The 12,129-nt window shown below is 33.2% G+C and overlaps 1 long non-coding RNA gene across 1 annotated transcript in view; it reads right to left on the bottom strand.

The window, feature by feature from the left end:
• The window catches only part of LOC107986770 (uncharacterized), a 407,223-nt gene extending 398,446 nt beyond the window's left edge, over nt 1-8,777 (bottom strand). Inside the window, exon 1 of the long non-coding RNA XR_001745097.2 lies at nt 8,746-8,777. This is a non-coding gene — a long non-coding RNA (uncharacterized LOC107986770). The remainder of the gene's footprint in view (nt 1-8,745) is intronic.
• Nucleotides 8,778-12,129: the final 3,352 nt, after the last annotated feature.

The following is a 12,129-nucleotide window of genomic DNA, read 5'->3' as shown; positions in this document are numbered from 1 at the left end:
TTTAATTGCCCATATAATACTGTCTAGAGCTCCTTTTTATCTGAATATAACTTCTTGCCAACATGCATTAAAGGTGTAGTGTAGGTGAGCAATAAACCTTTGTTGTTTAATAGAACAGAGATTCAGGTGATATTTGTTACCATAAACTTTTCTGACGAATACAAATGCTATTTTGCAGTATTACTTGATACTATCTAATGTCATATAAGACATACTAGATTATATATTCATGAGAGTCAATGACAAAATTTCTCACTTTGTTTTTATTCTTCCAATTGTGACATCTCTGCATTGACCATATTTTGAGAACATTAGTCAAAAGGACTAATGAAATGAAAATATTTTCGTAATTTTTCACTTGATCCTGGTAAGCATGGCTCTCTTTGCACTATCTTTTTTCTAGGTGTTTTCTTGAAATTCTGATTTTTAAATCAGCAAATTTAATCGGCCCACCCTGTCAGTTTGCCTAAACCTTACATAGTAATGTGGTAAATACAATATAAAATTCTACTCTGTAATTTCGAGAGACTCAAAGGGACTTAACTTGTACTTTGTTTCAACTTTTATACCACTCAATCTTAATTAATTTTGATGATTTTTGGCTAAATGAGAAGCAATGGGTAGCTCTGCAGGAAAGGAAAAGGATAAGAGCACCTAACAAAGTTCCCTGTAGGTAACCCCAACCTAATTTAAAGCACACTTGATATGTAGCAATAGACCCTGGTAAAATGGCAGGTGATTCTCTAAACAGAATAAAAGTAGCAGTTGTATCCCTGCCCAGACTCAGTAAATTTGTATGAACATGGTGCTTTTCATTAGGCAATCAATAATATATTTTATTGGTTCCAGAACACTGCAGAAAACCCACTAGAAGTCATCTCACTCCACTGTTTTGAGTGTGAACACTACAATTAAGCAAAGAAAAAAATAAATTAGTTTTTCTGAAATCTGGAGGTTTTCTAGTTGTAAAAACCCAATTACAAATTAGCAAGCTGTGAATAATCAGATTAAAAAATAATCAGGCGCAAAGCAGCAAGTGTTTGACTTATAAAAATCTGCGAAGACTCACAAAGTTAGTTATACGGTAATTGATGGCAAATGGGAATATCAATGATATTACATTGAATCACAATTTTTTAACCTCAAATATCAATAGTTTTACTATATATATATATATCTAGATATATATATATAGATATATATATATATCTAGATATATATATATATCTCCTTGAAATTTCTTATTTTCTGTTAAGGAAGTGTAGAGATTTTGTAGGGGTGCATATGCCAGGTTGAAATAGTTCTTATATGTTTGAAATTCAGATTATTTGCTAACAAAGGATGATTATGAAGTATTTGAGTATATATAAATACAACATGAAATAATATTACAAAACTAAGACTAAACATATTGGTAATATCAGCAAATATCAGAGAACTTAACCTACTAAAAACACAGCTTTTCAGATTGGCTAAAAAATCAAATTTTAACATTATACATGAAACATCATAATACAAAGAGATTCAGCACCATTATACTTAAAAAGTAAACCAAAAACACACACATACACACAAATAGAAAGAAAGACAGAATTTTGATGCTGATATTTGATGAGGTGAAATACTGTCGTGAAAGCATAAAAGAAACAAAAATGACATCTCATGATGCTAAAAGTTACAGATTATAATGATAACAGTTATTGATATTTGTACAGCAACAAATTTTAGGAGGCTAAAACTATAGTTATGAAAGAAATAAGCAGATATATATTAATAACAGTAGAATTTAACCCAACTCTTACAATCCAAGACTGATTAAGTGGATAAAGAGTTAGAAAATATGTAAAAGAACTAACAAATAATTAGGTCGGTGCAAAAGTAATTGCAGTTTTTGCCATTCCTTTTACTTTTCAATAAGTTCATCAGTGATATATATCCAAGTAGGAACCTCAATAAAAGAGGATAAATTATGTTCAAGTAAATATGAAGCATGTACAAAATATGGCCATATGTTAACCCACAAAATATGCTAATAAATAATATTTTCTGCTAGAAATCATAAAATTATTTTCAAAAGAGATTTTAATATAGAAACTGAAAGTGTGCTAAATAAATCTCAGGTTAAAAGGGAAATACAAAACAAAATTATGAAATTGCTTAAATAATAATAAAAACAGGACATTTTATTTTATCTTACTAAAAACAGGATATTTTAGAATTTTGGCTTACAAGAAAGGCAGTTATAGAGTAAGACTGATAACATCAAATACCTATATCAATAAAAACTATAAAAGTAAAAAAAATTAGAACAATTATTGAAACCAAAAATGTACAATTAAATAAATGTAGAGAGATGAGAAATAAAAATTGAGGCAAAAAAATAAACCAACAAAAAGCTATGAAACCAACAAATAAATCTCACATATTGATCTTCAATAAAATCAACGAAACTGACATGATAAGCTAAGTAAGGGAAAAAAGTAAAACCACAAACATACAAATTTAGAAGTAACAACAACATAGACACTAAAACAGAGGAAGCCAGACATAGCGGCACATGTCTATAATCCCAGCCACTTGGGAGGCTGAGGTGGGAGCATCCTTTGAACGCAGGAGTTGGAGACCAGCCTGGTCAACACTGCATGAGGTGGAGTTCAAGACAAGCCTGGCAAAGATGGTGAAACCCTGTTTCTGCTAAAAATACAAAAATTAGCCGGGCATGGTGGTGGGTGCCTGTAATCCCAGCTACTCCGGAGTCTGAGGCAGAGAATTGCTTGAACCCAGGAGGCGGAAGGTGCAGTGAGCAGAGATTGTGCCAGTGCACTCCACCCTGGGCCACCACACCAAGATAATTTTCTTGCATTTTTAGTAGAGACGGGGTTTCACCACATTGGCCAAGCTGATCTCAAAGTCCTGACCTAGTGATCCGTCTGGGCGACAGAGCAAGACTCCATCTCAAAACAAACAAAAAAGAAAAAAAACAACAATACAAAAACCAAAAACAAACAAAAAAATAATATTTACAGCCCAACCCCACTTATGAATATTTATGCAAATATTAAAAAAAAGAAGAATCAACAGCACATTAATAGAATTAATCCTCTATTATAAAGTATTTTAATAAAATCTTTCACATTAATAGAACCAAGAAAAACCATCTGATAATTTTTACAGCAGCAGACCTTTTGCTTGACAAAATCCAACATCCACTTGTGTCAAAAAACCCTGAATTAAATAAGAATTGATTGATAAGTCTTAACAGAATAATATAATAAATATACCTCAGCCCTGCAGTAAGTAAACGTTCCATTTAATGTAGAAAAAAAGGCATTTCCAGTAAAATAAGAAACAATGCAATATGGTATTGTCTCTACTACCAATTGATCTTATCTTGCATTTACTAGTCATTAAAATTTGACAATAAATGAAGTTAAAGACATAGATTTAAAAAACAATAGGTAGAAGTATCTCTATTTGTCTTACCTCAGAGGTGGTATATTTAATAATTTCAAACCATTTACACTCATACCTGTTCTGCTTTTTCAAATCACTATAAGCTCTTTGAGGACTTGCTGAACTGCTTCATTTTTCCACTACACAACAAACCTAATACATATGATAATGCCTCCATAACTTGTTAACAAATATAGATAATGACATTGTTGACCAACATTTTTTATTTTTTATTTTTTGAGACGGAGTTTCGCTCTTGACGCCCAGGCTGGAGTGCAATGGCACGATCTCGGCTCACTGCCACTTCCGCCTCCTGGGTTCATGAGATTCTCCGGCCTCAGCCTCCCAAGTAGCTGTGATTACAGGTGTCTGCCATCACGCCCAGCTAATTTTTGTATTTTTAGTAGAGACAGGGTTTCACCATGTTGGCCAGGCTGGTCTCGAACTCCTGACCTCAGGTGATCCACTCGCCTCAGCCTCCCAAAGTGCTGGGATTACAGGCGTGAGCCACCGCACCCAGCCGACTAACATTTTTAATATTCCAGAACATGGACAAAAAAGCAAGCACGGACATTTGATGTGTTTGATAAGGACCATAATTACTTTTGTTGATTTTCATGATGACCTTTATTTCTGAGACTTTGAGAAATCTTTGAAATATTAAGTATTTTTCATAAACAGCTTAACATGCAGAGATGAAGAGTAAAGAAGGCCTCTCTTTGGAAAGAATATCTTCTACTAATTAGCAAGAAACCACTTATATAAAAATACCTTAGAAATGTAGTTTTTACTTAAGTAGATTCCCAAGCAGAAGCCCTGCTCTGACTAGATAAAAATGCATTAATAACCAATAGAATATTTAAAAATTTCAAGTTATTCCTGTATAGCTTTTCATAGCAGCTCAGTAAGGTACCAAGATCTTGAATTCAGTATCCAGATATTGATAAACTGAGTTTGCCATGCTGTGATTTGAAACACAAGGTTTCATAACAGCTCATAGAGGCAAAAAAGACTAACAACTTCCACATTCTGTTTTCTGTGGTGGAATCTTCCCTGAATATCCCCAGGCCACTGTTATTGTTTATTTCTGCAAAACAAGATTATTTTAGGTTGTGAGAGAAGAAAAGCTTCACTTAATGAACATCATTTGGAGAATACCATTGTGAGGTGTTTGATTCCGATTGACTGTCAATGTTTCAGCTAGTCACCAGAGGCTACAGACTCACACACAGCTCCACACATGCACATCTGAACTCCCTGATGAGAAGAGATAAAAGAATCCTATTGTGTTAACCACTTTTTATGAAGAAAGCCAATTACAGTTAATTCTGCATTGCTCATTGTACAGTTCGTGGAATATTCAGGCAATTGTTTAAACACCCATAAGCTTGAAAATCAAAACACTGGGTTTTAATCCAGGCTCTATCACTTACAGGGAGAGTTTAGGAGGAAGTAAATTGCACAAAAAAAACTAGAAAGAGAAATAACACTGATACTCTCAGGTTGGTGTAAAGATTAAATAAGGCATCATGTACACAGTTATTTAAATTTTGAAGCCCTATAAAAGTTTTAGTTATTGTTATTAAAAGTCTTGTCAGCTTTGTTGGAAAGTATGCTGAGATTTCAAAAGTATGTACCTATAGAGAAGGGAGAAAGTATCTGTTTGCCAGGACTGCCATAACAAAGTAGCACAGACTAGGAGACTTAACCAACAGAAACTTATTTCTTCACAGATCTGGGGATAGAATTCCAAGATCGAGGTGCTAGTACGGTTGGTAAGGCCTCTGTCCTCAACTCATAGATGACCACCTTTCATTGTGTCCTCATATGATCTTCCCTCTGTGTCTACCTGTCTATGTCCTATAAGGATACCTCTCATAAGGATTAGGGTCTTATCCCTATGTATTATAAGAATACCTGTCATATTGGATTAGGGTCCATCCTCATGACCTCATTTTAACTTAATTACCTCTCTAAAGATCCTATTTCCATGTGCAGTCACATTCTAAAGTACTGGTGGTTAGGATTTCAACATATGAATTTGAGGAGTCTTGCAGGGAGACATGACAACATTTTGCTCATAACAATGACTTTCAGGATTATCAGGATAAAGGAAAATGGCAAGTAAACTGGTTACCGATTCCCTACAAGGTCACTCAGACAACCTGAAGCACAGTTTAGGACTGAAAGACTTGAAGGCAGGAGCCATACATGGACATTTTTGGAATCTCAAATAGCTCAGAGTGCCTGACACAGAATAGGCACTCTGCTGTTGCTCGTTGGATGTGTCGAGTCCAAGTAAACTCAGGATTCATTTGGGTAACTGTTCATATATCAATGTATTTATAAATAATAATTTTTCTTTCTATATTAATATATCAATACATCAGTATATCATATTAAGAAATATATATTAATATTTACAATTTTTAAATATATGATATATGATAGTTATATATCTAACATGCCATGTAATACTATATTAATATACATATGTGTATTTACATATTTATATATATTAATATGTAGAAGTATAAAGACCAATTACGAGGAATGTGCCATTTGAATGAGAGATAATAAGTGGGATAGTATTTAGCATTTCAAGAAGAGAAAGGGAAGTTTCATTCAAGTAATAGTTGGGAGATAAAATCTGCAAAATGGAGAATGTTTTGGATATGAAAGTTCACAAAAGTTAAGAATTACTTCTACATTTCAGGCTTGTATAACTGAATGCATAGACGTGCCATTTCTTAAAATGGAGAATACTGGGTGTAAATAAGTTGTAGGAAAAAGATCTTGAGTTCAGTTTTGAACATGATAATCTGGAGATGCATCTGAGATTACCAAGTGGCTATTTCAAATAAATAATGGTACATAAGTCACCGGAATAACAAGTTCCTCTTAGCTAGAGAATTGTATTTTTAAACGATTATGTACAGTTGTTAATTTTAGGCTTACACAGTTGAACATCCACTCTGTTCAAGAGTAGAGCAATAATTTTAAAGTTATTCTCTGGTCTCAGTCTAGTGAGGAGATAGCTATTAATCAAATATTCACACAAATAAGTGTAAAGACCTGTGATAAGAACTGTGAAGCAGTCCATTGGATTTAGTGGGGTTAATGTTATTGATGATCACCCTTCACAAATTCCTCCCCCGATGATCACTGAAACTCTCCAAAAGCATTGGTGTAGGCTGAAGTAAAGGTAGTAGGTGAAGAGGTGGTTTCTGTACGTATATATACATATGCACCTTTTTGAAAGGTTTGGATTTAAGAATGGGAAGAAAAATGACAGCAGCAGGCAGAAGGGAATATTAGATCAAAGGAAGGAATTACTACTTTTTTTTAAAAAATGGCATGTAATCTGAGGAAGTTTACAAACTCATAGAAAGAACACAGCTGAGAGATAGAGGAGATACCTACAATAATAGATAGGATTGCTGATAAGTTGTAAAGAGATAGGCTAGAAAACCTAATTGACGAGTTTGGTCTTAGATGGGAGGAGAGGTGCTCCTGTATTTAGCAGGATAGAAGGAAATTAGTATGGGTGAAGGTGTCAGGAGGCTTGTAGTATCCTTTCCTTTCTAGTGAGCCTTTTGAGAGTGTTATGTGAAGACCTCTATTTTTTATATTTTTATTTTGAAATAATGGTACAATCACACAGTAGTTACCAAAAAATCTTTTTACTGTGCTTTATATTCTTTTAATTATTTTCTATTGATGCATGATAGGTGTATGCAGTTTCAGAGTGCATGTAATAAGTTAATACATTCATATAATTTGTAAATATCAAATCAATGTATTTACAGTATCCATCATCTTAAATATGTATTTTCTTTATGCTGAACCATTTAAACGATTCTCTTCTATTTTAAAATACGTAATAGGTTATTATAAACTGTAGTTATAGTACTGATTAATCCAACACTAGGTCTTATTTCTTCCATCAGACCTTATATTTGCACTACAAATCTTCTATCTTCATGGGATTCTGTTTTTTTTTTCTTCCCACATATGAGTGAGAACATGTGATGTTTGTCTTTTTGTTCTTGGCTTATTTCACTTAACATAATGACCTCCTGTTCCATCTACATTACTGATAATGTCTTATATAACCAAAGTACAATGATTAAAATCCGAAAACTGGCATTGGCACAATATTATTAACTAAAATATGGGCTATATTCAGATTTTACCAATTGTTGTCTAGTTTATTCGAATTTAATCATATGTGTAGATTCATGTGAACACTACCACCATAAACCAGGACACAGAACTGAGCCATCACCCCAAAAAAACTTTCTCAACCTCCCCCTTGTAGTCCCAGCAACCACCCTCCAACCTAGTTCCTGGCAATCACTCATCTTTTCTTCATTACTACAATTTTTTCTTATTAACACTGTTATATAAATAAACTTATACAATAGAAAACCTTTTGAGATTGTTTTTCCACTCAGCACAATGCCCTTGAGATCCATCCCAGTTGTCACATTTAACAATTGTTTGTTCTTTTTTGTTGCTCAACAGTATTCCACTATATGGATAAAGGACAGTTTGTTTATTCATTTACCCATTGAAGAACATATGAGCTGCTTTTTTGGGCTATTACAAATAAAATTACAATGGACAATGAAAAATTTTGTGTGAATGTAAGTTTTCATTCTTTATGGTAAATATCCAGGCATGGAATTACTAGGTTATATGGTACATATATGCTTATAAGAAACTGTCAAATTGTTTTCTAGTTAAGATGATCTAAAAGTGAGATAGAAGATGGGGGGGATAGGATTGCAGGGAAAAATACTTGAGAAGGGTAGAGTAGTTTTTAAACATATGCTGGTTTTTATATAAAACTGATATTTACCATTGAGATTTTTCAAACATTCTTCCATCAAAAACATATATACACATAGAATATATTCAAGTAGCATCACATTTTAACAGGCACATACATGCCTACTGAGAGCTTGTTGTGTGTCTGTGTACACTCATACTTATCACAGTATAAATGCAGAAGCCAATGAAAAAGGCTCTGTTTGAAGAGATATAAATGATTGCAAAAATACTTTTTAAAAATGAGACACAGATTTTATTTGTTTATACCTTCATCACATTTTTGTGGTACCTAAATATTGTAGCCAGCCTGAAGAACAATGCGTGATGTGTTTATCTGCATATGTATTTATTTGATATATATTATTTAATTACTATAAGATAGTATATCTTATATACTTATTAATTACATTTATCAATTATAAAAATGATATCTGGGTCAGGCGTGGTGACTCACACCTGTAATCCCAGCACTTTGGGAGGTTGAGGTGGGTGGATCACGAGGTTAGGAGATCAAAACCATCCTGGCTAACATGGTGAAACTCTATCTCTACTAAAAATACAAAAAAAAAAAAAAAAAATTAACTGGGCTTGGTGGCGGGCAGTTGTAGTCCCAGCTACTTGGGAGGCTGAGACTGGAGGATGGCGTGAACCCCGGAGGCAGAGCTTGCAGTGAGCCAAGATCGCACCACTGCACTCCAGCCTGGGCGACAGAGCGAGACTCCATCTCAAAAAAAAAAAAAAAAAAGGACAACTGTATTTAAATAATGACAAGACACTGACCTTATTTTAGCCTGAAGTCAATTTTTCAGGTACAGCTAAAGCTGTAAACTTAGCAACAGTCAAAAGTTTTAAAATGCTTTTTGGGAAGACAACACTACAGGTGTCCTCAAGTTTGGAATGTGTCTTCACTCAATGTTCACTGATGCTCAAAAAGCACTTTGTTTTTCAACATGAATGTTTCAATTATATGTATAAGCAGTTCTTTACCTTGACAATAAGATACATGCTACGACAATAACCACTTACTGTTTATATTAAAGGCACCGAAGTTTAGAGAAAAAAATTTAATAGCTTTCTTTTGTTTAATCTTTTTTTTTGTTGATACATATTAGATGTACCTATTTAGGGTAAATGTAATAATTTAATACATTCATATAAGCAAATCAGGGTAATTGGGATATCTATAATCTTAAATATTTATCTTTTCTTTATGCTAGAAATATTAAAATTATTCCCTTCTAGCTATTTTGAAATGTACAGGGAGCGAGTGGTCACTCCTACAGAGGCACAGTCTTGTGCCTTCCCCAGGCCTCCTGTTCTGCTTTCCACCCAGGCCTGATGTTTACTAACCATCTTGTGGCTCTCAGAAATCCTGTTTCCACAAATTTCTCCCGGTCCAAAGTAGTGCAAAATGAAGATTTTTTTTTCTCATATCTAGAACATTATTCCATGTAAAAATTCATCTTTCTGAGTTCTTCCACAGGACAGAGAAGATTCAATGTAAATTTTGTTTTGGAAGGTTCCTCTGGAATTCCCACCATTCCCTAAGGTAGATGTTAAAATTGATATTAATACTGGGAGACATACATATATATCCACCAGGGCATGTCCACATACATCTCAACATATTCCTGTGCTTCAGCTATATGTGTCTGTATTAGACTTTAAACATGTATTCAGAATATTTTGCCTTTTTACTATTTTCACTTTTGAAGGGATTTTAATTTGTACTTTAATCCTGCAATATCCCCATTGTGGATAAAATGAAACAAAGGTATCTCTAAGAAAAACCTGAACTAAGTTTCTTAATGAGGGAAAGATTTGATATATATGATGTCATCTCCCTATATCATGTATGCCAACAAGCAGAACAGAAATACGATACAACTCAGGCAGTACTGGAAAGCCATTTGTTAGCTATTTTCAGCTTCAGAGAATGAAGCCAAACCTATGAGGTTGGAATGCATTAGTAAAGTCCTAAAAGCTTTACCAAGAGTTTTGCTTTGACACGAATATTTTGCTTTCTTAATATCCAAATGAAAGGTGAGGGATAGCAATCCAATTGGAATAGCATAATGTAGCTTCCTATACACCCTGTATTTACAATTTACTTTTTAAAACATCTCCTAGCTATTGAAGAAAGAAGAGCAACCAAAATCAACTTTAGAGTCAAACAGCAGGGGGTGGGGGGGTGGTGAGGGGCATCAGTAATGTCTATCAGCCAATTTATTATTCAAGGACAGCTCATTTCCTCTATCTAAAAGGAATGCAGACAGATAATGCAAATAGAAAAATTATGTCTCTATGGATTTTAGAGTCATTGCTAATCTAAGTAAACAACCAAACTTTTGGCAAAAGAAAAAGAAGTTCTGAATCTGTGGTTCTTGAATCTCTACATCACCCATTGATAGGAAGCCAGGAGGCCAGATTCTGGTGGAAATATATGAAAATTCAGTGGGTTTGCTCACATACATGCATTTATCTGCAGAGAAATTCCAGATTTCCAAAAAGATCTATGATGCAGAAAGTTTCAGAACCACTGCTTTAGAGAACAATTACTATTTCCTTGTTGCTTTCATACTTTGATTTACAAGACTTCCAATATAATTTAAGGTGAATTAAAAAATCATAAACTGAAAGATAAAAGGGACTTTAGTAGTCATTGTAACCAGCCTTCTAAAAGTTTGCTGAATTCTAATTCTCAATTTTGTATTAACTAATAAGACAAAGTCATAAAACTCTTTCTTAAGGATGATACAGCAAATATTTCAGGCTTCTGAAGACAAGAGAGAACATCAAGGATATTATATAGATAAATATATATTTAAAACATAACTATTTAAAATTGTAAAAACAAAAATAGTCAGTGTACCCAATTTTGCCTGCAGTTTATTGGACTCTGTTTTATGAGGACAATTCAACCTTTATAATATTAGAAAAATTTTAGCTTCATGTTATAAATTGACAGAATTTGTTAAATTATAAAGAAAGAGAGGACTTCCTTGCAGAACCTTTAATTTAAATTTGTTCAAGTGCCACACTATCTCAAAGATCTTTTTCTGTAAAATACTTATATAAATTTGTGTTTTTGTCTGCCTTCCCATCAGATTTCATGACTGTTGGGCTATGCTTACTTCATCAGTGTTTCTCTAACATTTGTTACATTGCTTTCCATTCAATAACTACTTATTAAGTGAGTGTATGAAATAAAAACAATAACACACTTTTTAATCATAGTTGCAAAACTTCATAAATTTAGTATAGATACTAACCCTATTTCAAAGAAAAGAAATTGATTATGTATACTTGTTTTACAGTCATCAATTTTTGTGTCTCCACATAAATAGAAAGGTAGAATTATGTTTTATATATTTTAAGAATGTAGCAGAGCCTCTGAACTTACATGACCGCGGTCCAAAATCCATCTTTACTCAGATGGCTTTACAACTTGGGCAAATTACTTATATCCTCTGAACCTCAGTTTCCTTCCATAAAATACAGGGATAAAAACAGTATCCATTTCATAAGATATTGTGAGAATTAATAATATAAAATATAATGACAGTAGTTATAGAGCCTGAAACACAATAATATGTATTCAAGGAACTGCTATTATGTATACTACTGATTTGCTAATAAATTACATGTTTGCATAGGTTTGTCACTGTGATAATTTTTTCTATTTAGGTTTACAATTTTAGATTATACGCAACAAAGAATTACAAAACAGACCGATTAGATACAATCAAGGCAGAATTCAAATTTTGTCATAAGCTTTTCAACAAATATTTATTGCATATGTGCACATTAGAATAAGCTTTTCTGCAAACATTGTTTATT

Source organism: Homo sapiens, chromosome 7 (assembly GCF_000001405.40).
Source record: "Homo sapiens chromosome 7, GRCh38.p14 Primary Assembly".
Classification (NCBI taxonomy): domain Eukaryota; kingdom Metazoa; phylum Chordata; class Mammalia; order Primates; family Hominidae; genus Homo; species Homo sapiens.
The sequence above is the reverse complement of the archived record's forward strand: the minus strand, read 5'-3'. Positions and strand labels throughout refer to the sequence as shown.